The following is a 27,187-nucleotide window of genomic DNA, read 5'->3' on the forward strand; positions in this document are numbered from 1 at the left end:
GCTGGTCACCACCACTTCCTCAAATGACTAATGCCACTCTTGCTCACAGTGCTAAGGCGCTAAGGAGTTTTCAGAGGGCTAGAGTGATTCTGCATCCTCTGGGGTTCTCAGGAAACGAGGCCACAGGGCCATCTGTGCATGAGTGACAGTGGGGTGGGGTGGATGAGCAGTGGCAGTGGTGGGCACCTATGCTGCTGGCGCCACAGCTTTTTATATCTTGGTGAAAACAACGCCTTGCGTTTTCACTTGTAGATTCTCCGGCTACATTCCACAAGAACAAATTCTGGTCACAGAGGCCAGAGTAGACTATCAGTGTAATGGCCCTTCCCCTTTGATGATAGCAGCTTTTTTCGGGGGAGCAGGGGTGGCCAAACTTCCTAGCCTTATTTTATCTTCCTTTCTAGTTCTCCCCAGAGGCTGCTGGGTCCACCTCTCCCTCTGCCAGACAGACAGGCTCAGACATGCAAGAACGGAAGGGGGTGTGGGGGTTGGTGGGAGGATTAAGTTGGGGAAAGCCAGTCTTGTCTTTGTAGATTACCAGAACTGACACACGTACACACACGTACACTCACTCACTCACTCACTCATCTATTCATCTATTTTTGGCCTAAGTGCCTTTGGACACTTCTTCGGAAAAGCACATGAACTCTTCGGAGTCTCCTGTTCCACTTGGTAAATTTCCTATAGCCACGCACTGAAAGTCCCTGCTGCCCTCCTTCCTCTGAGCTTGTGGGGCCCACAGATCCCCTGCTCCACTTCCTGCTTCATTTCAGCTGATGGTGAGTCCAGGGCAGGCTTGTAGGAAGGGCGGGCTAGGCGTGGGGAACTGCAGCACCCACCCCACCCCCCGCCCCAGTGCTTGTTGCCCCAGCCTCTGTCTCCCTCGCTGTGCCCTTCCCTTAAGCCCCACTCTTGGCCTCCCCAAAGACAGAGTTTGTTCTGTTTTTATTGATAGGATGACACTCCCTCGTTCTAATACCATCTGAATGCCTGAGCAATTACATCTTACAACCTCATGAAAAACACAGCAGCTTGTCACGATGAATGATGTTACCGTGAATAATGCAGTTTTGAGTTCAAACTCCTTCTTATTCCAAGAATGAGTAAATATCCCTATTCCCTCCCCTCCCCATTGCATTTGGGTTTGACATGACATGAATCATTGTGGTTTTACTCCTGGGTAGAATTGTTTTTCTGTATTGCATTGCCAATTGATGGAAGGACAAAAAAAGGAAACTTACCAATGAGCAGTTTCAGATGAACTTAAATTCTCAGAAATCTTGAAGAATGAATGAACTATAACTTTCTGAAGTTGCAAAAATGTTCAAGTCGGAAGTGACCCATGGGAAGCAACCTGGTCCTTAATTAGGACTGGAAAGAAAACGGAGGCCCAGCGAGGGAACAGTGGCTTCCCCAAGGTCACACTGCAAGTGAGTGGTGGCACTAGTCACCCAGGAGTCCTCCTGACTCCATGGTATCCTGACCCCAGACCAGCAGCCTTATTTGTGGTTAAAGAACGTGGAAAAACAGCTTATGTTTGAATTTTAAAATCATGCCAGTACTAAAGATCTGCATTCCATGAATATTGAGCTTTGCTGTGTGCGGGTTGCTACGAATTTTGTAACTATTTTCTCTAAGAGCTCTCAGTATTTTACATATACAATTCCATTCTTTATTGTCCAGGGAAAAAGTTGCATTTACTGAGCAGTAAGAGGGTGATTTGAAGTCCCTGGGGTCCCCCACCCTTGTCTTTCTATGTGAGATTGTATTGCAGGGCTCACATTTATTCTCTCAGCAGCTCATTGCACAGACAGTGTATTTATTGAGCACCTACTGTGTGCCAGGAGCTATGTGGTAAGCTAAGCAGACAAAAACTCCTGCTCTCACAAGAAGAAAGAATAAACAAGCAGACAATTGCACCTATAATGTCAGCCTGGTGTGATGGCTCACTCCTGGAATCCTAGCACTTTGGGAGGTGACGATGGGAGGATTGCTTTAACTCGGGAGTTCAAGATAAGCCTGGGCAACCAAGACCCTGTCTCTACAAAAAAATCAAAAAATTAGCTGGGGGTGATGGCATGAGTCTCTGGTCCCTCGGGACCAGAGGCCTCGGGAGGCTGAGGCGGGTTTATCACTTGAGCCTGGGAGGTTGAGGCTGCAGTGAGCTGTGATCACACCACTGCACTCCAGCCTGGGCCACAGAGCGAGACCCTGTCTCTAAATAAACAAACAACCTAATGTCAAGTTAGGAAGTGTGGCAAAAAGGAACAAAGTCAGGGTGACTGCCATTCTAGAAAGGGTGGTGAGGGAAGGTCTCCTTGAGCAGATCCTGTGGGAGTGGAAGGGTAAGTCACGAGACTCTCTGGAGGAAGAAGATTCCAGGTGGAAATGCCTTAGTGGGTGTTAAACGCTTTAACGGGTGTTAGCCAGAAAGCCAGAATGGCTGGAGCTGAGGGAGTAGAGGAGGCGGCATAGAAAATGAGGTCAGAGATGGAGGCAGGGCCGGATCACAGAGGGGCACAGAGAACGAGGAGGGAATTGGATTTTTGGAAAAGATTGTGGCAAAATACAAAATATAAAATACAAAAATAAAATATAAACCATAAAATGTACTACCTTTACCATTTTAAGTATGCAGTTCAGTAGTGTTAAATACATTTACATCATTGTTCAACCCGTCTCCAGAACTCTCTGCATCTTGCAAAATTAAAACTCTATGCCATTTCAACAGTTCGCATTTCCTCTTCCCTCTCGTTCATGGCAACCGCCATTTTTCTTTCTGTCTCTGTAAATGTTAGTACTTGGGGTATCTCATCTAAGTGGAATCACACAGTGTGTGTCCTTTTGTGACAGACTTATTTCACTTTGCATAATGTCCTTAATATTCATCCATGTTGTAGCATGTGTCAGATTTTCCTTCCTTCTTAACATTGTGTAATATTCCATTGTACGCATAGACTACATTTAGCTTATCTGTTCACCTGTGGATGGACACTTGGGTTGCTATAGTGAATAATATTGCTGTAAATATGGGTATACGATTATCTCTTTGTGACCCTGCTTTTAATTGTTTTGGATATATACCCAGAAATGGAATTACTGAATCATGTGGAGATTCTGTTTTTGATTTATTTATTTATTTTTAATTTTTGAGATGGAGTCTCGTTCTGTCACCCAGGCTGGAGTGCAGTGACACGATCTCTGCTCACTGCAACCTCTGCCTCCTTGCACCATTAATTCTGAAAATGCAGGCCTGGATCCAACCGCCTTTGGGGACGGGTACCTGCCCACAGGAAGAGGTTGAGGAGACAATAATGTCACGAGAATCATCATCTTTGACTGGGAAATGGTGTGCAGAGTTTCTGGTGCCTTCTGAAGTGATTGTCGCATCTCAGCCTCCCTAGTAGCTGGGATTACAGGCATTTGCCACCAAGCCCGGCTAATTTTTGTATTTTTAGTAGAGACGGGGTTTCATCATGTTGGCCAGGCTGGTCTCAAACTCCTGACCTCAGGTGATCCACCTGCCTCAGCCTCCCAAAGTGCTGGGATTATAGGTGTGAGCCATGCACCTGGCCTGATTGGTTATTTAAATTCTGAGATGGGGTATACTAATGTTTGAAAACCACAGGGATGGGATAGGTATAGGTGGGGAGGGAGAGCAAAAGTGGTATTTAGAATATGTTACGTTTGAAAAACCTAATACACATTCTACATCCAAGTGGACATAGATGGAGTTATTTGAAGCTCAGAAGACACCTGAGTTGGAGACAGGAATTTGTGGATCATCTGATATATTTAGCATTTATAGCCACAGGGCTGCTGCCTGACTTTTTTTCCCCCTAGACAGTTTCGCTCTTGTTGCCCAGGCACGACCTTGACTCACTGCAACCTCTGCCTCCCGGGTTCAAGCGATTCTCTTGCCTCAGCCCCCCGAGTAGCTGGGATTACAGGTGTCCACCATCACGCCCGGCTAATTTTAGTGCTTTTAATAGAGATGGGTTTCACCATGTTGGCCAGGTTGGTCTCAAACTCCTGACCTCAGGTGATCCACCTGCCTTGGCCTCCCAAAGTGCTGGCCAGGCATGAGCCACTGCACCTGGCCACCACTGCCTGTTTTTGTACCGCTTGGCAAGCTAAGAATGGTTTTCACATTTTTGTTTCTTTTTTTTTTGGAGACGGAGTCTCACTCTGTCACCCAGGCTGGAGTGCAGTGGCACAATCTCAGCTCACTACAAGCTCCGCCTCCCGGGTTCACGCCATTCTCCTGCCTCAGCCTCCCGAGTAGCTGGGACTACAGTTGCCTGCCACCACGCCCAGCTAATTTTTTGTATTTTTAGTAGAGACGGGGTTTCACTGTGGTCTGGATCTCCTGAACTCGTGATCCGCCTGCCTCGGCCTCCCAAAGTGCTGGGATTACAGGCATGAGCCACCGTGACCGGCCACTGCTGCCTGTTTTTGTACTGCTTGGCAAGCTAAGAATGGTTTTCACATATTTGAATATTTGAAAAAAATTTTTCAAGAATACCATTTTGTGGCACACGAAAATTATATGAAATTCAAGTTTCAATGTCCACAAATAAAGTTTTATAGGAACATAGCATGCTCACTCATTTAGGTATTGTTACGGCTGCTTCCACACTACAGCAGCAGGGTTCAGAGGTCATGGCAGAGACCACGTGGCCCACAAAGGTGAATGTACTTCCCTTTGTAGAAGCTGTTTGCCAAACTCTTGGCTAGCAGAGTGAGTCATGAGAGAAGAGAGAAGTGCATGGACTGAGGTCTGTCCAGGGCCTGTCAAGAGCCAGTAACCGTTGCTGTGCGTCAAGGATGCCAAGATGGTGCCTGCTCCATGAGCAACAAAGCCCAGGGGCCCAGCAAGCCAAGGCTGCTTGCCTCTTCCCCTGGGGCCAGCTGTGCATCTTGTGGATGGCTGAAGTTGAGCAACCCATAACAGGCTCCTGACCCACTGTGAGATGGTGGCATGTGAAAGGACCAGCATCCAACAGTCTTGCCCTTACTATATTAGTAATTTCCTGGGGCTACAGGAGCTATTTACTACAAACTGAGTGACTTAAAACAATGGAAATGGATTCTCTCGCAGTTCTAGAGGGTATTATTCTTTCAATCAATCAAGGTGACAGCAGGGCCATGCTCCCAAAGACAGCTCTAGGAAAAGCTCCTGGTTTCTAGCGGCTGCCTGCACTCCTTGGCATTCCTTGGCTTACAGCTGCATCATTCCAGTCTCTGCTTCGGTCACCACGTGCCTTCATCCCTGGGTCGCTTCCATGTCTCTATGTCCAAATGTCGCTCTTCTTATAAGGATGTTAGTCATTGGATCAGGGCCCACCCTAATCTGGTATGACTTCATATTAATGTGATTGCATTGATAAAGACGCTGTTTCCAAATAAAGCCATCGTCACACGTATGGGGACTAGGACTTCAACATATCTTTTTGAGGGACAAAATTCTACTCACTATACTTCCACACACATGCAGATTTCACGTGGTTGAATCTAAGAGTATTTGGGTTCTTGCGATAAAAGGATATGGCCCGGTGACTAATCCTGGGGAAAGAAATAAAAAGAGAAAAAAACCTCTAGTATTGGTGTTAAGACCCTGAGTTTTACTTCATTTCCTCACCACTCCCTGCTGCCTGCAGGCAGGCCAGCTGCCTCCCTAGGGGCAGAATTGGAGAAAGAATACGTCTCTCTGATGTAACTACTGCGCTCAGGCAACCCACTGTGGAGCTTCACAGTGGTTCTCTGCCAAAGATTCTGAGGTTTTTAGCCTGAGATGATAGGTCAAAACCAGGGAGGTGCTCATGGGGGAAAGCAGCACTGGACAGAGTCTAGATGCTGCTTCCCTCAGGCTGTGATGACCTTCAACTGGCCCTCATCCCCAAGAACCTCAGCTTCTTCCTCTGTATTAAGGAAATAACCATAGCCCCGTCCGTCTGTCACAATGTAGAAGCGGGGATGAGAAGTGAAAAGTGAGGTCTTGCAAAGGTCTCGCAAGTCCTCTGCAAAGCTAAGGGGTATTACTGGACAGCGACTTGGATGAGGATGGCCAGACATTGTCCTCCTTCAGGACCAGCTTCTCAGAGCAGAGTCTCCAAACATAATGTCGCTTCCAGATGACGCAAATCTGATATCAGAGAATGACTAAAAGCTTGAAACTTTGCTTTTAATCTGTTGTGGATCAAGTTTCTTTTCAAATAAATCAAAGTCTGTGAACTTAGGAAGGAGGAAAATTGCTGGATATCTTTTTTGGCGGAGGGATGGGGGGCCCTCTGCCAATTTAACCATTTCAAAGTGTCCAATTCCATGGTTTTAAGTATACTCTAGTTCCAGAATTTGCTCATCATCCCAAATAGAATATCTATACTCATTAGCAGCCTCTCCCTGGCTCTTCACCCTTCTCCCGTTCCTGGCTACCATGAATCTGTGTCTGTCTGTATAGATTTGCCTATTTTGGATCTCTTCTCTTCTGTTCTCTTCTCTTTTTAAAGATGGAGTGTCTCACTGTGTCACCCAGGCTGGAGTGCAGTGGCGTGATCTCGGCTCACTGCAACCTCCACCTCCTGGGTTCAAGTGATTCTCCTGCCTCAGCCTCCTGAATAGCAGGGATTACAGGTGCCTGCCACCATGTGCGACTAATTTTTATTTTCTATTTTTTTTTTTTTTTAGTAGAGACAGGGTTTCACCATGTTGCCCAGGCTGGTCTCAAACTCCTGGCCTCAAGTGATCCGCCCGCCTCAGCTTCCCAAAGTTTTGGGATTACAGGCGTGAGCCATCACTCCTGGCCCTATTTTGGCTATTTCATATAGTGGAGTCATACAACATGTGGCCTTTTGTGTCTGGCTTCTTTCTGTCAGCATAATGCTCTCGGGTTCACCCACGTTGTAGCATGTATCAGTATTTCATTTCTTCTTACGGCTGAATAGTGTTCAGTTGTGTGGGTTTGCCATATTTTGTTTATTCATTTATTGATGAACATTTGGGTTGTTTCCATCTTCTGGCTATTATGAATTGTGCTGCTATGAACTATAATGAACATTCTGCATACATTTTTGTTTGAACATCTGCTTTCAGTTCTTTTTGGTATATACCTAGGAGTGGAATTGCTGGGTCAAGCGGTAATTCTGTGCTTAACTTGATGAACCACCGAACTGTTTTCCATGGTGGCTGCACCTGCATCATTTTGCATTCCCACCAGTGGTGATGAAGCTTCCAATTTCTCCCAGATCATGATTTAACACTCATTTTTATTAAATGCAACAACCCTTCCTGCATCTGGCCTGAGTGTCCTGGGCCAGCCAACTGCTTGCTCTCCATCTTTCCTGTTTGGTCAGAGGCCCTGGGTGCAGCCAGTGGGTTACGCACTCTGATCCCCTCAGTGACTTCTCCTGGGAGGTCACCAAGGATACTCATTCAGTCAGGTCTTCCAGAGCCACAGTGTTGATCCTGCAGTGAGGACATGAGTGTGCAGTGACTGGACTCTCTCAGGCAGTCGTGGAAGCAGAGGATTGCTCTGGCCAGCCTGGAGACAGTTCCCATTGGTTCCTGGACTTGATCTGAATCAACTCCTTCTTCCTCACCATCTCTTGCCTGGTGCTGCTGGCTGAGACGTTGCACCTGTGGGGGCTGTCCACTCCCAGCTCACGTCTTCTGGCAGCTCCTTACTCTATTCTAATGCGCCTAGTGGTACTGCCGATTTTCTCTTTTCCCAGACACCTCTCTCCACACTCCTTCTCCCACATTGGCCTGGCCCTCATGGCTCTTTGATCCTCATGGAACATTCTATTGTCTCCTAGGTGAGAAGAAAAGGCATCCCAGCTTATATTCAGACACATGGCCTTGAACTCGTAATAACTCACACATGTAAGCCACAATAACTTCATTTGCATGCAACCACCTTGAATGAATGGTCTCAGTAAATGTGTCATTTATTCTCAATATTCTGGAGTGCTGGAAAAAATGGGGAGTCAAAGGATCCCTCAGTCTGCTGGTGTGACCTGGGGCACCCATCCCTGTTCCCTCTCCTCTTACATGGGATAAAACCCCAGTGGAGCCGTGTCTCTGGATCACTGTGATGGATTAGGTGAGTCTCTACCTGGGCACCCTCTTTCACGTGGCAGCATTTTTATCGCTGTGACAACCTGGAGTCACCTTGCCATTTACCACAGTTGCCTTGGATGACCAAGTAACCCTCTTGCCCTTCATGGGGGGATGTCCTTTGAAGAACACCATTCATTCTGGAAGTGCAGGCCTGGCCTGAACCACTTTGGGGACGGGTACCTGTCACAGGAAGAGGTTGAGGAGACTATAATGTCAGGAGAATCATCATCTTTGACTGGGAGATGGTGTGCAGAGTTTCTGGCGTCTGGGGGCATTCCATCTGTGAGGTTTTCAGTTCTTCATGAGCTGTTACAGGAAACAATGTTTTCGAAAACAAAGTTGTCCCTGGCCCAGGGGCGCCAGGTCATTCCGTGCAAGCAGTCCCCATCAGCTGAGGGAAGGCCCAAAATATGCAAGTGCATGAGCCAGGCTGGCGTGGCACGTGAGGCTGCATAATTTTCGCCGCCCTTCCCTAGGTGTTCTGCTGAGAGCTGGGCTGTCTGCTTAGAAATCAGCCTCCAGGCCTGACTTTTGGCCTCTGCCCCGCCTGTGGAGTCGGTGCGGGCTCCAGATTCCAGAGGCGAAGGATACATCCTAGTGCCAGCTCAGATCTGAAACAGGCGTGCCCTTCGTTTTCAGGTAACTTCTGTTCTGGTCTCTGAGGCTGTGCTGGAGCACTGGCCGGGATTCCAGGCGGCATTTTGTATTTGGAGACAGCAATCTGGGGAGGGGCATAAATAGTAGGAGGGGCAGTGTCATCTGTTTTTACCTTTTCTTTTCTTCTTCTTCTCTTCTTCTTTTTTTTTAATGTAGTCTGGTCTTTCCAACTTTGTTTTCAGCCAATGCAGAAGATGTCTATTTGTGCTGCACGGCCCAGAAGGGAACTGCCAGTTCAGAAAATGTCAGGTCAACTTGATGCTCCCGGTTGACATTTGGCACTGGCTTGGGGGAGCAGGAAGGAAGGGGAGGAAAAGGACGTGGAGAAGAACCTAGGAAGGATTCGTACTTTCGTGCTTTTCTTCTTTTCTCCTCTCCTCCTCTTCCAGTCTGCTCCAGGCTGACGGGAAGGGAAAGGCAAGTAGCTGGGTTTGATGGGGCCCTGCGGGGAATGGGGTGGAGACGGGGCAGGAGGGGGAGCTGTGTGTCTCAGAACCACTCCTGCTCCTGACCACGCTGCCCCCCAACACACACCACACCACACATACCACACACATACCACACACACACCACACCACACACACCACACAACACACCACCCACACCACACCACAAATGACACACCACACAAACCACACCACACACACACAACACACACCACACCATACAACACACACACTACACATCCATACCACACTACCCACACATTACACTATGTCACACCACACCCACACATCACACTACACATACACACCACACACACACCACATAACACCACACACACACACCACAACACACCACCCACACCACCCACACCACACGACACACCACACACACCACACCGCACACACACACCACACCACCCACACCACACACTACACATACCACACATCATCCACACAACACCACGCACACATACCACACCACACACACACCACCCACACACTTCACACTACACTATACCACACCACCCACATACACCACAACACACACACACACCACACACACACACCACACACACATCACACACACCCTCCTCACACCATGTACACACACACCACACACCACACCCCACACCTCACACCCTGCAAGCCTGTGTTCCGAGCTCCTCAGGGAGTGGAGGCCCCTGAGGAACAGCCTGAACCAGCATTTCCCAGGGTTCGCAGCTCCAGTTCCTTGCCTGGCAAATTCAGTAAATCCCAGGCTGTCACAGTTTACCACAGCTGCCGTAACAAAGCACCATGAAGCATGCTGCGCCTACAGAGATGTCCTGCCTCACAGTTCCGGAAGCCACGTGTCCCAGATGGAGGTGGCGGCAGGGCGGGTTCCTCTGAGGCTGTGAGGGAGGCGCTGTCCCAGGCCCTCCCTGGCTTCCGCTGGGGGTGCTGGCCACCCTGGGCGTTCCTTGGCTTCTAGAAGCATCGCCCAGATCTCTGCCTTCATCTTCACCCGGGGTGCTCTCCCCGTGTGTGTCTGTGTCCACATTTCCCCTTTTTATAAGGACACCAGTCAGACTGGATTGGGGGCCCACCCTACTCCTATACCATCTCTTCTTAACTTTTCTCTGCAACGACCCTGTTTCCACATAAAGCCACATTCAGAGGTACTGAGGGTTAGAACTTCAAAGGATGAATTTGGGTGGTGGGGGCCGCAATTCACCCCATCACAGCAGGTGTACATGCTCCCTGCTTCTGGGGCTCCCTGCCTTCTGGGGCTTTCCACTCTGAGATCAAGGTGCCCAGGATGTGGAGCAGGTCAGGTGTTCAGAATTAGGAGGAGTGCAAAGGTAAGCAGAGACTTGTCCCTTGGCCCTCAAGACAGAAGTGGCAATTGCCCGGGGCCATTCAGAGCTGCCAAAGCATTTTCCTGCTTATTAGCCATTCCAGCCTCACAACTAGCAACCTTGAGAGAAAGGTCTGGAGAGAATTTTTATCCAAAAAGATGGAGTAACTTGTGCAAAAATCACGCTGTCAGCTGGAGTTGGAACTTGGGTCTTCAGGCTCTGTGTGTGGCCCTCTCAGGAGGTTGAACCAGTGATATGGGGGAGGGGTATGCACGAAGGTTCTCCTGTTGCAGGGGTTCGGGGAAGGCATTGTGAACGTGGTGACATCTGAGGAGGGCCTTGATTAAAATTTGAGGGAGAAGGGAGCTTTTTGGTTGCAGGCGACAGTTAAGTGCAAAGGGCCACCAACTCAAAGTGTCCCTGAGTTTGGGGTGCTCTGAAGTGGCATCGTCCTAATGTACAATGGGAGGATTTGGTTTTTATCTGATCTCTGTCACCCGCTGACACCTTTGTCTCATCCATTACCCTCAGCCACACCTCATCTATTCGTTAGTTAATTAATTAATTTTTTATTGAGACAGGGTCTCGCTCTGTCACCCAGGCTGGAGTGCCGAGGTGTGACTACGGCTCGCTGCAACCTCCACCTCCTGGGTTCAAGTGATTCTCCCACCTCAGTCTCCTGAGTAGCTGGGATTACAAGTATGCACCACCATGCCTGGCTAATTTTTGTATTTTTTATAGAGACGGGGTTTTGCCATGTTGCCCAGGCTGGTCTTGAACTTCTGAGCTCAAGCGATCCTCCCACCTTAGCCTCCCAAAGTGCTGCAATTACAGGTGCGAGCCACCACGCCTGGCCCACCCCCTCCGTTAGAAAATAGAAAGCTCTTGCTGCTTTCTCTTCACTGGGGCCAACAGAACCTCCTCGTCTAAACTCTCCTCTCTCAACAAAAATTCTCCCCACAGCCTTGGTGTGCAGCAGTTCATGCAAATAAACCCAGAGGATGATGCCAAGCTGGACTCTTCTTTCCATTTTGAGCTCCTGTCCCCCGCCCATGGCTCAAAGCCCCTCTGGCTCATGGCACATCAGGGCAGGGTTCCCACCTGCACACCTCAAACCTTGGGATGAAAGGGTTCATAGCTCTGGTCTCACGGATCTTCCCCACAGCAGAGCCAGGCGAGCTTTCCTATGGACACAGCCCAGGCCTGCTCCCCAACTCCCATAGGCTAAGATGGCCCTGCAGGACAGGTAGGACCTTGGCAGGCAGGACAGGATGGGAGTGGGGAGGCTGCAGACGTCTGTAGAACTCCATGCTGTTCCTGGATGCCTCCCCATGCATTGTCCCATCTGGTTCCTGCTCCCTTGCAGGACTGGGCAGATGCCATTCCCCTTTTAGAGCTGGGAAAAGAGCCCTCTGTGACTTGTCCGCGATCCCACAGTCAGAAAGCATCTGAGGGAGACTGAACACAGTTCTTCTGGATGCAAACTCAGTTCTCATTTCCCAACCTGACTCAGCCTCTGGGTGGAGGCAGCTTCTTTAGAGAGGACGCGCATCTGATGTCCTTGCAGAGAAACCCTCTGCAGAGGCTGCTGGATTGGCAAGGGCATAGGGGAGGGGACAGGGTGGGTGCAGCCCAAGATCACTGGAGTTCCTGGGAAGCGGGGAGTCTGTGGTTCTCTAATGGCTGATTTTTCTGGGGAAAAGGTGGTGTTGACTGTCCCAGCTTGGATGAGAGGATTTGCGCATTGCATCTGAAACCAAGAAAGACTAGGATCGTCTTTGGAATGTTTGGGATGGTTGATTCCGCTAAGGACTATTCATAAGGCACATTTACCAGCTCTCCCTTAGGTCTTTTCATGAACATGTTTTTATTAGTTCGTTCTCACACTGCTATAAAGAAATACCCGAGACTGGGTAATTTATAAAGAAAAGAGGTTGAACTGGCTCACAGTTCTGCAGGCTGTACAGGAAGCATAGTGGCTTCTGCTTCTGAAGAGGCTTCAGGAAGCTTCCAATCATGGTGGAAGGCCAAGGGCGAGTGAGGCACTTCACGTGGCTGGAGCAGGAGGAAGGTGCAGGGGAGGTGCCACACACTTTTAAACAAGTAGATCTCACGAGAACTCACTCACTGTCACGAGAACAGCACCGAGGGGATGTGCTCAACCATGAGAAATTGCCCCCATGATCCTGAACAAGCACACAGAACAGGCTGCCCCTGCTGCTAGAAGGGCTTCTTGTGGGCCCCCTTCTAACCCCCACCAGCTCCTGAGTTAGAATCCAGGAGGGTGCATCTGATTGGCTGGACCTAGGTCATGTGCTTGAGCCCTAGCAGCCCCGGCAGCAAGGGAGGCTGGAAAAGGCAGGAGTGAAGGGGCTCAGCTTCTGTACTAGGAGGTTCCACGCCCTGCCTCCTACACGATTCATACATAAATAGAGGATTCCCTGAACCCAGGAAGGGAGTTCAGATGCTGGGCAGCCAGGATAATTACAAATATTCTCTACGTTAGGGTGTGTGTGTATGTACAGGGCAGGGCTGGGATGAGCAGGGTGGTTAAGAGAATGAGATTTGGCATCACACAGATGGGTCTGAGGACCAGCAATCTTCACTTATTATCTCTCAGTCCTGGCGATATACAGCCTGTCCCAGCCTCAGTTTTCTTGTCAGCAAAACTGGGATACTAATGCCTATTTCACAAAATGGTAGCCTTATTATTCTTATAGTAGATGTTATTATTAGGAATATTGTGATAGCAATCATAACATGGTGTACCCATCATGTTATGATACCTCGGTCATGAACTGTAAGCCTATGTGTAAGGCCTGGTTAGATTGACCTTCTAATTTTTTACATGTCTCTCCAGCACAGATGGTCAAATCAGCTTTTGAGGCCTGAGTCCTGATACAGTCCTCAAAAGGCAGGTGCTTTTTTTTTTTTTTTTTTTTTTTGAGATGGAGTTTCACTCTTGTCCAAGTTGGAGTGCAGTGGCTCACTGCAACCTCCGCCTCCTGGGTTCAAGCAATTCTCCTGCCTCAGCCTCCTGAGTCGCTGGGATTACAGGCTCCTGCCACCATGCCTAGCTAATTTTTGTTATTTTTAGTAGAAATGGGGTTTTGCCATATTGGCCAGGCTGGTCTCAAACCCCTGACTTCAGGTGATCCGCCTGCCTTGGCCTCCCAAAGTGCTGGGATTACAGGGGTGAGACACTGCGCCCAGCCAAAGAGCAGGTGCTTTTAAAAGGATTAACCTAAGCTCTAAGTATAAAGTTTTTATTGCTGTTTTATCCTATAGTGTAATGACCCTCTAACTTTTAATTGTATATATATCTATAAAATATATAGTCTTATATAGCAATGTCTGGTTGGGTGTGCCCAAAGTCCTTTATAGCTCTAAGCTTCAGAAAAGTAAATAGAAGAAGAAGATAATTAAAAGACTAAGATAAAATAAAACAATTGTCTTTCCCACTGGAATTTGGAGGAGATGGAGTTTGCAAGTAGGAGAGTTGGAGGGGTAGTTCAGCAGCTGGTTTTATCGGCAAATAGGCCAGTTAGGAGGGGTCGCTGAGGTTTATTACATGAAATCCTCAATGGGTGGGCACTGCAGCACAGAGCAACCTGGAGTGTGTGGGGTGGGTACCCCAGTCAACACACACAGGACTCTTGCAAACAGGCTCCTTGACTGACATGCTTCTGTATAACTTTCATAAAAAGATATTGATGTTCAGAGTAATCCTGGGGCTATGTAGATCCAGAAACCGTCAAAGAAAGTTTAGATTCTACTCAGTAGATTTTTACCATGAAGCACATTTCACCGTGTTCTCATTCTTGGAAACTTAGGGATGGATGAGTGATGTTAATTGCAGTTTGCAATTCTCTGTCGACCACAATGTTGAACACAGCGGGATACTCTGTTCTCATGCCTACGTGAATAGCTACCTAAATCTGATTGTTAAGTAGGCCCATAAGGTTTACAGGACAGTTTTTTTTTTTTTTTTTTTTTTTTTTGCACATAGGGAAAAAGATGAGTCATGGTACATGGTTGATTTCTGGATTGTATCAAATTGGGAAGAATTTATGTAATCCCAAACTGGTATATTTGCACCAAAATTCTTGATAATGACAGGTTGAGGCTGGGTGTGGTGGCTCATGCCTGTAATCGCAAAGTTTTATATATTTTTTTGGGAGACCGAGGCAGGTGGATCATTTAAGATCAAGAGTTCGAGACCAACCTGGCCAACATGGTGAAACCCTGTCTCTACTAAAAGTACAAAAATTAGCCAGGCATGGTGGTGCGTGCCTGTAGTCCCAGCTACTTGGGAGGCTGAGGCACAAGAATTGCTTGAGCCTGGGAGGCGGAGGTTGCAGTGAGCTGAGATTGTGCCACTGCACTCCAGCCTGGGCAACAGAGTGAGACTCTGTCTCAAAAAAATCAAAAAGGAAAAAAAAAAGACAGGATGGTGTGATGAGTAGAGATTTACAGAAAGCAGTTTTCCCTCAGAAAGGAGGAGGGGAGTAGATGGAGGACAGTCCTCTGGGAATGGTGAGAGCTGGGTAGAGGAAGTGGGTTTTGAACGATAAGTTTGAAGAATTCATTCATTTGGTCAACAAATGTCTACTGAGCACCTACAATACATCAGGCAGGGTTCTAGGCACTGGGGATACAATAGGGAACAGAACAGATAAGTCTCCTGCCCTCATGGTAGGTGTGTGGTTTTCAGGTTACTCTGGAAAAAGGATGAACATTGGGAAAGATGGAGGAGAGAGTGAGTATTGTGTAGAGGACTGTAGGTAGGCTTGCTTCTTTTATACATTCGTTCAATTAATCCAGCATTTATGGGCCATCTTCCCTGGGCAGATTTTATGCAAGACACTGGGGATACAGAGATGACGAAGTCTTATTTGAGAAGTTCAAAGTCTGGAGCATGGAGGCACAGACTTTATGGAACAGGATGACTGAGGTCTGGTAGAAGCAGGCTCAGAGGAAAAATATGCTAATCTTGCTAGAGAGGATTTGAAAAGCTTCCTAGAAGGAAAGAAAGGATGCTGACTGCCAGCCTTTAGAGACAGCTGAGAGCTTGCCAGGTAGCAGAGAGAGCGGAAGAAGATTCTAGGCAAAAGGAATGAGAAGACATCTATTGGGGGAAGGGAGCACTAAAAGAAGGCTGTCAGGCAGGGGAAGGCTGATGGTGGAGAGCCTTTATGGGAATTGTGATTTTAATTTAATTTGAGACATGATGGGGGCCACAGCCAGGTTGAGGAGGTAACTCCATGAAAATTACATTTGAGGTTGATGACTTCTGTGTGCTTGTTCAGGATCATGTCCTTAAACAGGGAATACTCATTAGCAAACTAATTAAGGACCTTAACAGGAGGGACGGTAATTTGTTGGGTTTTAGAAGACTTAGTACAATAAATATATTGATTGAGTTTGGGTTTGCCAAGGAATTAAAGAGTCCGCACTTCCCTAATAAAAATAAAATGAAAATACTTTTTTGGAAAACTGACAGTAAGGCAGTAATGACTATAATAAACCAGAAGTCCTTCGTCCACAAACCACTGTGGTTGACAATAAGGGATTAAACATTACCTGAATTGGTAGAGAAATTATTAATAGCTGTTGCTTTTTAAAAATAGACATTTACTGCCAGTCTCTGGGGAGGAGGGAGAAGCAGAAAGGTGCAGGTGCTGATGGCTTTGAAGGGCATTAGCTGTGCCTCTTCCATTCTCATTTTCTCTTCCCTCATTCCCTTTTCCAAACTGAGAACCTGGATTCCATGTCCAGGTGGGCAGAGGGAGGAGGAGGAAGACGTGGGAGATGGCTGGAAAGAAGAACAAGCCAAATTCTTATGTACTTCTGGGCATGCTTGTGCTCCTGTTTTAATTTTTTATACCTTGCAATTTAGTGAACTTGGAGCTCCAAAACGTCTGTTGAATCTTGCCTCGGTGCTCTGGTTCTCAGCCTTGGTGGCAGCAGAAACCCTTAAACAAAAGGTTGAAAACTGCACGTTCCCAGCGCTTTCCTCCCCGCCCCTTTCCTGGGTTTTCTGTTTACTGGGATGTGGAGAGGAAGTGCAAACTCTGTAGTTTCTAAAGTTCCACAGGGGGCTTTGGATGCTTTACCTGGGGTTGAGGTACTGACTTGGAGGCTCACTTGTTGTATTAGTCTGTTTTTATGCTGCTGATAAAGACATACCTGAGACTGGGTAATTTATAAAGAAAAAGAGGTTTAATGGACTCACAGTTTCACATGGCAGAAGGCAAAAGGCACGTCTTACATGGTGGCAGACAAGAGAGAATGAGAATGAAGCAGAAGGGGTTTCCTCTTATAAAACCATCAGTTCTCATGAGACTTAGTCACTACCACGAGAACAGTATGAGAGAAACTGCCCCCATGATTCAATTATCTCCCACTAAGTCCCTCCCACAACATGTGGGAATTATGGGAGCTGCAATTCAAGATGAGATTTGGGTGGGGACACATATCACTTGTGTCCCCAAACCATATCACTTGTGTTCTCTCTCTCTTTCATTTTTTTATTTTTTTGAGACAGAGTCTCTCTGTTGCCCAGGCTGCAGTGCAGTGGCACGAACATGGTTCACTGCAGCCTTGACCTCTGGGCTTAAGTGATCCTCCTGTCTCAGCCTCCTGAGTGGCTGGGACCACAGGTGTGTGCCACCACACAAGGCTAATTTTTTAATTTTTATTTTGTAAAGATGGGGTCTTGCCTTGTTGGCCAGGCTGGTCTCAAACTCCTGGGCTTGAGTAATCCTCCTGTCTTAGCCTCCCAAAGTGCTGGCATCATAGGTGTGAGCCACCACACCCAGCCTCACTTGTGTTATCTGGACCCCTATTTTAGATGTAAGTAGTCCTGGGAAGGCAGTGCTGCTCTAGACTTTCCATGGCTGTTTTGCCAGACATGCAGCAGAACTGGTGTGCCTGTCTGGGGTAGGGAGATGGGGCCCAGGGTGGGCTCTGAAAGAAGGCTCTGGAAGGAGTTTGGAGCATGACAGCATTGGGTGCCCTCAGGGGGCAAAACAGCAGAGGACAAGGTACAGAAAGATCTAGGTGGTAGGAGAGGCTTCCAGAAGAGAGGCAGTAGGGACCTGGGTCTCGGCTATGCAGGCCCACGCCCTTGGACCTCAGGCACGCTTATCTCCAGCTTCTCCCCTTCCCTGCTGTGGGTGGGGCATGCCCACCTGCTGAGGAAATACCTGGAAAGAAACCATGGGACAACAATCTAACCGGTACTTTTCCACTCCATATGGATCTAGAACTCCTGGCACATACTCCTGTGTGATCTTGTGGAACACTGGGCTTCTCTGGAGGAGTCATTAAGTGCTGGCTGCACCCTGAAACGGTGGCCCTGTGACTCTGCAGAGGTCACCACAGAAGTTCTTTCACTCTGGGTCATCCCCCATCTTTAGCTCCCCTCCCCTTGGTCTTGTGTTGCTTATCTTCATTAATTTGTGATGAGGAGATATGTTTTTATCACTGAGGCCTCAGCCTGCCACCTGCCTCCCCGTTTTCCTTTTGCCTTCAGAAACTAGTTATTTTTACAAAGGAGGGAGGAGTGCTCCTCCCTCCAATTCCATTTAAAACAAACATGGTTTTGGCACAACAAGCCTGCCTCCTCGAAGTAATGGCCGCTCCCCCGTGCCAGTTGCTATTCTGCCCTCATGAGAGTGGAGCGTGTGTTTCCTCCCCTAGTTCCTCTTTGTTTCTCTGCCCTTCCTCCTCTGAGGGCACAGGGGCAGACAGGACATCCTCCCACCAGGGGCTGCCTAGTGACTGGCCGAAGATTCTGATCATTTCAGGCCTCCCTTCACATTCTCCAGCGGCATTTTAAGGTCTTTGCTGTAAGGCAAAAGCTGGTTTTTCATCCTTCCTCCTTATCCAGGTCTTCTGTTTCTGGGGTCAGTCTGGTGCGTAGACAGTTCCACACATACTCTGTATTAGGGATCCTGAAAGAGAGAAAGCTAAAAGGGACTTCTTCCATTTCAAGAAGAGACTTAAACAAGATAGAATTCCCTTTCCTTCTTATGAGACTGAGAATAAGCACTCTAGCAGCCCTTAGTATCAGGGTCCCAGGCTCCCTCTGCCATATTGTTTTGCCATCTATAGGGTGTTGCTGCCTTTTACGGGACTCACAGTGGGTCACAATCATTTATTGATCCAGGTAGTAGGATGCCCTTTAAGGGCCTGATTCAGAAGTTGTACATATCACTGCCACTCACATCCCATTGGTTGGCTCTTAGTAACATAGCCCTACCTAGAGGTAGGTGAGGCTGGGAAATGTAGTCTTTACGTGGGTGTCTGGGAAACCAACTAAAATCTCTATTAATTATTAGAAGTTTTAAAAAGATAAATGTTTCATGCATGTGTGAGAAAACGGCATTCTCTAATTGTCGAATGCAGAATTCTATATATGGTCGTTAGTTCAAGCTTGTAATTTGTGTGGCTGTTTTGTCTGCCTGACCCATCAATAATAGAGACCTATCAATAATTGAAATCTCTCTCGACGGTAGTGGATTTGTCAATTTCTCCATGTATTTCTATCCATTTTTTGTTTTATATATTTTGAGGTTAATTAGGTGCATTCATATTTGGCATTGTCATGTATTTAGCATTCCCCATGTATTTCTATCAATTTTTTGGTTTTTTGTATTTTGAGGTTTGTTCATTAGATGCATTCATATTTAGCTTTGTCGTGTCTTCTTCGAGAACGAACCCTTTTCTCTGCATCCAGTGATCCTCTCTAGCCCTAAATATGCTTTTTCTTTTAAAGTATATTTATCCTATATTGACATATGTTGTTATCTTTCTTCATTCTTTTAATTTCAACATTTGTTCATGTTTTTATACTTTAGATATACCTTTTATAAATAGTATGTAGGTGGATTTTGTTTTTTAAATCCAATCTGATGATTTTCTGTCTTTTAGTTGGCAAATTTAGGCCATTTATATTGATTTTTTTTAATTTATTTATTTTTATTTATTTATTTATTTTTTGAGATGGAGTCTTGCTCTGTCGCCCAGGCTGGAGTGCAGTGGCTCTCAATCTCGGCTCACTGCAACCTCTGCCTCCTGGGTTCAAGCGATTCTCCTGCCTTAGCCTCCCGAGTAGCTGGGATTACAGGTGCCCAATACCATTCCTGGCTAGTTTTTTGTATTTTTAGTAGAGACAATGTTTTGCCATGTTGGCCAGGTTGGTCTCAAAATCCTGACCTCAGGTGAATCCACCCACCTCAGCTTCCCAAAGTGCTGGGATTACAGGCATGAGCCACCACGCCCAGCCTTATTTCACATATTTCTTGCGGCTTTTCCTGGATTTATTTTTCTTATTTGAATATCACTTCTTCAAAAAGTGTTTTTAAATGTGGATTGTAGCATGACAGACTTCCTCAAGCCTTGTATGCCTGAGAATATTTTCATCACACCTTACATTTGAATGACAATCTTGCCAGAAATGGAATTTTAGGTTCAATGTACTTTCCTCAGTACTTTATTTATGGATTAATACTTTTTAGAGACAAGGTCTCACTCTGTGTCCCAGGCTGGAGTGCAGTGGCATGATTACAGCTTACTTCAGCCGCGACCTCCTGGGCTCAAGCGACCCTCCCACCCACTTCAGTCTCTCAAGTAGCTGGGACTTGCGGTGCTACCATTCCCAGCTAATTTTTGTATTTTTGGTAGAGATGGGGTTTCGCCATGTTGCCCAGGCTGGTCTCTAACTCCTAAGACTAAGCTATCCACCTGCCTTAGCCTCCCAAAGTGCTGGGATTACAGGCATGCACCATGGCTCCCAGCCATTCAGCACTTTACAACTCACACTTCATTATGTTTTTGCATTCACTGTTGTGGTTAAAAAGTATGATATTCACTTTTAAAGTGACTTTTAAAAAGTATGATATTCACAAAGGAAAAAGGTTATTTTTCCTTAGTAGGTGTTATGCTCCTTCTGAGAGTTTTCAAAATTTTCTTTTTGAGTTTGGTATTTCTAAATTAATTAATTAATTATTTCCATGATTCTGCATGGTATTCCTAAATTTGATTCTAGTGTGCCTAGATGTGGAATTTTCTTCTCTTTCCTTTTGATGTTCTATGCACTCTTTTAATTTGAATATATTCATCTTTAATGCTTGGAAACGTATCTCCATGAATTCTTCATCTATTTTCTTCTCTTCATTTCTATTTATTTTTTTCTATTCTGTGACTCCTTTTGTCTGGATGCTGGTAGTTTTACTTTCATTCTCCAAGTCTCTTAACTTTTCTTTTATATTTTCTACATTTGAATTTTCCCCTGCTTGCTTCCTGGAGTGTTCCTCAATCTGATTTTCTAATTCACTAATTCATTCTTTAGCTGTATCCATTCAACCACGAAGCCCATTTATTGTGCTCTTTATTCCCATTATATAATTTCCATACCTTGTATTTTCTCCCTGTTCTTGTTTTATATTGCTATGTTTGGATGAACAAAGAGAGAGAATGGGCAAGCCTGGGAAAGAACCCCAGATAGGATGCCCCCATTTGGTATCACCCACCAAGCAACACCTGAGGCCAGAGCTTCCTCTTCAGATCCTCAGGCAGAAGCAGCAACAGGAATAGGCATGCACAGTTTATCATCCCCAACTCTGGGATTGGGAGGGCAGGGAATGCAGAGGCTACTCAGCCTTCACTGAAGTTCTATAAGGTTTCACTGGAATGGGACTTCTGGGCTGCCCTGATTTTACTCTTGTGTCAGCAGTCTGGGCCACAACTGCCAATTTCTAAAGGCCGAGGAAAGATAGTGATTGTCCCAAGGCAATGATGGAAGAGAAGAGTGGAACTCAAGTTGCTTTTTCTACTGTCTCCTCCTAGAGCAGCACCAGCTGGCTCATCCCAGGCTGCAACCCTTACCACTCTTACCACCATACACATGCAACAGTTTCTCTTTCAGTATTCTCACAGTTTTTCCGTTAGTTCCTGAATTTTGTGTTTTGTACCTCAATTAGGTTGACTCTGGGCAAGACGTATAATGGTTTATGTGAATTTTCCATCTTGGCAAAAATTGGAGTCTCAGCAGAGCAACCTTTGTAAGCCTGTTGTATTAGTCAGGCTTCTCCAGAGAAACAGAACAAATAGAATGTGTATATATTTATAGAAAGAGATTTATTATATGAAATTGGCTCATGAGATTATGGAAGCTGACAAGTCAAAAATCTGCAGGGTAGGCTGGCAGTCTGGAAACCCAGGAGAAGCAATGCTTTAGTTATAGTTCTAGTTCAAAGGCAGTCTGCAGGAGAACCAGGAGGTGCCAACATTGCAGATGAAGTCCAAAGGCCATCTGCTGGAGAATCCTCTCTTGCTCAGGTGAGGCCAGTCTTACTGCTTTCTATTCAGACCTTCAACTATTTGGAGGATACCCACCCACATAATGGAGGGCAATCTACTCAAAGTCTATGGATCTAAATGTTAATCTTATCCAAAACCAACCTCACACCCAGAATGGTGTTTGACCAAATATCTGGGCGCCCCATGGCCCAGTCATGTCAACACGTAAAATTAACTCTTACACCTGCTATTCCAAGTATGGTTTGAGGACCAGCATTGGCCTCACCTGGGAGCTTGCTAGAAATGCAGAATCTTGGGCCCACTTTTGCCAAGATGCCTGCATTGGAATAAGATGCGAATCTTTTCAATTTATTGAGCCAGAGCTTCATATCAGTAAAAATAAGAACTTTGGATTACATAAGAGATTCTCTGATTAATGTCCCTGCATGATCAGGGATCTTAAAAAAAAAACAATTACATAAAACTGCCTAGGCTCACCCCAGACCAATTAAAACCGAATCCCTAGAATAGGGCTCAGGCATCTCTTATCGTGTTTTGTTTTGTATTTTTTTTTTAAATCTATGCTGGTGAATCTGTTATCCACTGAAGGTGAGAATCTTCAGAGTTGTGCTTCTCAAACTACAATATGCATGCACATCACTTGGAGATCTTGTGAAAAATGCAGATTCTGGCTCATGAGACCTGGGAAGGCTGGAGATTGCATTTCCATCACTTCCTGTTTCAGGACCACTGTTGGACTTGGGAGATGCTAGACTGGATGACAGGTGAGATCCTTTGCAGTTCTGAACTGCTCTGATCCCTGAAACCAGGAGAGCTTCACAGGTTTGCCAAGGTGGGTTCCACCCAGGGACACACCTCTTAGTATCTAACCAGGAAATAAGGCCTCCCTCTCTGTGGTTTCCAGCATCTTCTGAACTCCTCAAGTCAAAGAAATCAGATGCCTTCCTGCTGCTGCTACCCACATGGAAACTAATACATTGCTCCTATTGAAAGCTTGGCTCTGTGCCCTGTGGCCAGAGTATAAGGCTCTAGAAGATATTAACTGTGTCCTCTGTGGGGATGGGCAGATTAAGAATGGTGATTTGGCATCAGAGTAACCTCATGTGGTGACTGAAAAACGTAAACTAATTGCAGACCAAATTTAAGATGGTCGTACCTGAAGCCTAAGCCGAGGCCTGAGCGGCACCCTCAAGAGTCCCCTCTTGTCTCCTCAGCTGGAATAACTTTTTCTCAACTGGTGGCTATCTTGGACGTTAGTTTAAAGCTCTGTTGTAATGTATGTCACCCTGACTGGAGTTCTAGGTATTTTGTTTCTTTTCTAGATTGAGATCTTTGGGGCAACCACTATGACTCTCTGCTTTCCTTCCAGTCCCTTCCACCACCCATCCCCAGCTGCGGCCAGGGCAGACCTTAGAAAACCTAAGGGGTTTTACTCCCCTGCTTGGAGCGCTCCAAGGAGGCGCTTGATGCTTGGAGTAAAATCTATACTCGTCCCCATCCTATCTAGTCCCTAATGACCCTGCAATGTCATCCTTCCCCACTGTCCCTTGTCACCCTGCTCCAGCCACACTGGCCTCTCCCCATGCAACAAGCCCACTCTTGCCTCAGGGCCTTCCCAGTTACTATTCTGCTTTTCTTTTTTTTTTTCTTTTTGAGGTGGAGTCTCGCTCTGTCGCCCAGGCTGGAGTGCAGTGGAGGATCTCAACTCACTGGAACCTCCGCTTCCAGGGTTCAGGCGATTCTTCTGCCTCAGCCTCCCGAGTAGCTGGGACAACAGGCGTGTGCCACTATGCCCAGCTAATTTTTGTACTTTTGGTAGAGACGGGGTTTCACCATGTTAGTCAGGCTGGTCTCAAACTCCTGATCTCAGGTGATCCACCTGCCTCGGCCTCCCAAAATGCTGGGATTACAGGTGTGAGTCTCTGTGTCAGGCATCCCAGTCACTATTCCTTCTGCCAACACACTCTTCCCCAGCTCTTCATGTAGCTGGCTGCTTCTTTTCATTCATCTCACAGCTTCAATGTCACTGCTTCCAAAGGAAGACCTCCCTTCTAAGTGGTCTTTCTCATGCCAAAATGACTGTGTACCCCATAACTTATTTTAATGTCTCCATAGCATTTATGACTATTAGAATTCTCTTACATATTGATGTTTTCTGATTTATTCTCTCTTCCCTTGTCCTCACCCCCTACCACTACATTGTAAACTTTACAAGCCACTCTATATCTCTTAGTGTCACCTTAGTATCTCTAGTGCCTAGAGCTTTGACCTGCAGCAGTAGGAGGTCCTTGATTATTAATTGGATTAATCTTGAATTTTCCACTGCACTTAGCTCAGTTCATTCATTTAACAAAGGATGTTTTTCCTCTAACCAAAATATGGGTAGCAATTTTGGGTGTCCTCTGGAAAAACTTATTCATGGAGAAACTTACAAAAACAAGATACATTTGACAGAAATAGCATGGGACTCAATCGGACTCTAGTTTGCATTGGTAAGGGTAAATGTGGGGCCCTGGGCTGTGAAATGTTTGCCAATCAGATTTGAGGAATCATAAAAAGTTCAGAATCAGCTTTTGCTTCTGCCCCCTGCTCTACATTCCTCTTGGGTGCCCAGTGGTAAACTGGCAAGAAGCAGCAGCTGAGGGCATGGGCAGGATGTTCTGGTCCTGGATCTCTGCCTTGCCCCCACATCCTAACACCACTGGGAAGACAGAAGCTCTCAGCACCTGGCCCAGGTTTCCACTAAACCCTGGCAAAGTAACGCAGATGTGGGATGCCAGGGCCACCACACAGGGAGGCAAAGAGACCTTCATTGGAGGAGGCTGCTGCTGCTAGGGGTGTAGAGGTGAGCCAGGGGCCAGCAGCAGATTGTGCCAGGGGCAGCTGGGAATGGGCTGTGCCTCCACCGAGCCTCAAGCCATCCTCTGATCTCGCTAGTCAGACTTGACCACTCTTCCAGATGTGCATGATTCAACCCAACACAGCTGGCAAGGTGGAGGGGCAATATGATGTTTCACTCGTACTAATGTTGTAGCTTCACAGCCTCTTGGGGTGGTCCATAGGCCCCTCCAAGGTGGCCTTGGGTGGGTGGAAGGAGGGGCAGAGGTTGGCATCCAAATTGCTCCAGACTGAGTCTACTTTCAAGATCTATTTTGCACTGGAGATGTAAATTTCCACTTAAAAATGCAAAGTGAGCATTAACACAGAGGCGTGGCTAAAGTTATTTGCTCTGAAAAAGATGCGCAGATATTTTTGTGTCTGGTGGGAAAGGAGAGAGTGTCAAAGGATGGACAAAGGCCACCTCTGTGTGAAGGTGGCTTTTGTGATTTTGGCTTAACCAAAAGGTCCTGGAGATGGAGTGACTTGGATTCTGATTATGGGGGTGTCTGCTGTGTCCCATTCTTCTCATTCAGTTGAATTTAATTCATCAAGGAGGAATCGTGTGCCTGCTCTGTGCCAGGCACTGTCAGGTGCCGGGAATGCAGCAATGAACAAAATGTAGATCAATTCCTGCCCTCTTGGGCCTTACTACCTGGCAGAAGATATAAAAAAGGGCCACTTCCACAGCATTGTGATGACAGTGGGATGTGACCATCCCTTTCCTAGCTAGAACTGGGGATTTGGAGTCCGAAGGCCCAGTTGACGTTTCTGGCCCTTCAACTTCCAGCTGTTTGACTCGAGGCCAATTATTTATTTATTTATTTGAGACAAGGTCTTACTCTGTTGCCCAGGCTGGAGTGCAGTGGTGTGATCACAGCTCATTGCAGTCTTGAATTCCCGGGCTCGAGTGACCCTCCCACCTCAGCCTCCCATGTAGCTGGGACTACAACTGGACACCACCAGGCCTGGCTAATTTTTTAATTTGTTATAAAGACAGGAAGGAGTCTCTTATGTTGCCCAGGCTGGTCTCGAACTCCTGAGCTCATACAATCCTCTCACCTCAGCCTCCTGAGTATCTGGGACTATAGGTGTGAAGACCACGCCCAGCTGATTTTTTAATTTTTATTTTTAGTAGCGATGAGGTCTTGCTATGTTGCCCAGGCTGGTCTCCAACTCCTGAGCTCAAGAGATCCTCCCACCTCGGGCTCCCAAAGTCCTGGGATTACAGGTGTGAGCCACTGCACCTGGCCTATTTACTTTTTTTAAGCTTTAGTTTTTTTCAGTTCTCATATGAGGAAATGACATCTGCCATGTCCACTTTGTGAGTTTTTAAAAATGAGAATACAGTGAGATAATCTACCTGAAAGCTTTTTGTGAGCTCCTAAGGAGACTTTTGAACTGTTATTGGTACTATGATCTCTCACTATCCTCTATAATGTCATGATGCTACTTGTTATCAAAAGCTGACAAAAGCTATAAACGTGCACTCTTTGTCATAGTAGCCACTAGCCACATGCAGCCGAAATGGGGCTAACTGGAATTGAGATGTGCTGTGAGGGTAAAATACACACTAAACTGTGAATTTAGTAAAAAAAAAAAAAAAAAAAAAGTAAATCTCTTATATTGAATATATTTTTGATCTTTTGGGTTAAATTGAATATATTACTTAAAGTAATTTTTTTTTTTGGAGACTAGGTCTTACTCTGTGGCCTAGGCTGAAGTGCAGTGGCGTGATCCTGGCTCACTGCAACCTCAACCTCCTGAGCTGAAGAGATCCTCCCACCTAAGCCTCCTAGGTAGCTGGGACCACAGGTGTGTGCAACCGAACCCGGCTAAGTTTATTTTTTGTGTGTATTTTTTTGGAGAGATGGAGTTTCGCCATGTTGCCCAGGCTGGTCTTGAATTTCTGGGCTCAAGCGATCCTCCCACCTCGGCCTCCCAGAATGTTGGGATTACAGCAGGCCTAGCCTAATTTTGTTAATTTTTAAATGTGGCTACCAGAGAACTTTAAATGAACTATGTGGCTCACATTATGTATTGACTGAACAATGCATCTGTAGAGGCTGTCTTTGGAAGTTTACTATATAACCAAGACCCACGAACACTCATGCAGTTCCCAGGGGTATCATGGACTGCTTAAAGTCCCATCTGTGAAACCCTAACATGATGATTTTAAAGGTTACTTTTCATTTACATTCAAAATGTACATAAAGAATGTCCCTGTGAGATTAGATCACTTAAGGGAGAACCATGTCTGTGTTTCACTACGCAGAAAATGGTTTCATCGTCTTTGTCCTGAAAGCCACTGCCTGGAAGGGCTGTGCAGCGCTCAGAGTGGGAGAGGCAGACCTCTGAGACAAATGACTTCAGCATCACTACAGCTGTGGCTAGAATGAGAACAGCCTCAAATTTCACTAATGA

At 46.5% G+C, this 27,187-nt stretch overlaps 2 long non-coding RNA genes across 4 annotated transcripts in view, besides 3 other annotated features; both read left to right on the forward strand.

The window, feature by feature from the left end:
• Nucleotides 107-1,306: an enhancer, noted in NCBI's record as "P300/CBP strongly-dependent group 1 enhancer chr21:35348180-35349379 (GRCh37/hg19 assembly coordinates)". NCBI's record gives its function as "activates an origin of replication core promoter dependent on BRD2, BRD4, P300/CBP, MED14 and CDK7 cofactors, with strong dependence on P300/CBP, by STARR-seq in HCT116 cells {active_cell/tissue: HCT116}" and the evidence as "EXISTENCE:reporter gene assay evidence [ECO:0000049][PMID:35650434]".
• Nucleotides 378-907: an enhancer, noted in NCBI's record as "active region_18387". NCBI's record gives its function as "activates an Ori minimal core promoter by ATAC-STARR-seq in GM12878 lymphoblastoid cells {active_cell/tissue: GM12878}" and the evidence as "EXISTENCE:reporter gene assay evidence [ECO:0000049][PMID:35858748]".
• Nucleotides 610-1,919, forward strand: LOC101928126 (uncharacterized). Its single transcript, NR_134561.1, has 2 exons — nt 610-779; nt 956-1,919. It is a non-coding gene; the product is annotated as an uncharacterized LOC101928126 (long non-coding RNA).
• Nucleotides 1,920-7,063: 5,144 nt separating this feature from the next.
• The window catches only part of LOC105372790 (uncharacterized), a 69,113-nt gene continuing 48,989 nt past the window's right edge, over nt 7,064-27,187 (forward strand). For 2 of the 3 annotated variants that reach the window (XR_937681.3, XR_937680.3), the window contains exons 1-2: nt 7,064-8,101; nt 8,595-8,757. This is a non-coding gene — a long non-coding RNA (uncharacterized LOC105372790). Of the gene's footprint in view, nt 8,102-8,594; nt 8,758-8,957; nt 9,188-27,187 lie in introns of those variants that run through there. The other variant, XR_937682.3, reaches the window with a different exon arrangement.
• Nucleotides 8,285-8,454: an enhancer, noted in NCBI's record as "active region_18388". NCBI's record gives its function as "activates an Ori minimal core promoter by ATAC-STARR-seq in GM12878 lymphoblastoid cells {active_cell/tissue: GM12878}" and the evidence as "EXISTENCE:reporter gene assay evidence [ECO:0000049][PMID:35858748]".

Source organism: Homo sapiens, chromosome 21 (genome assembly GCF_000001405.40).
Source record: "Homo sapiens chromosome 21, GRCh38.p14 Primary Assembly".
NCBI lineage: Eukaryota > Metazoa > Chordata > Mammalia > Primates > Hominidae > Homo > Homo sapiens.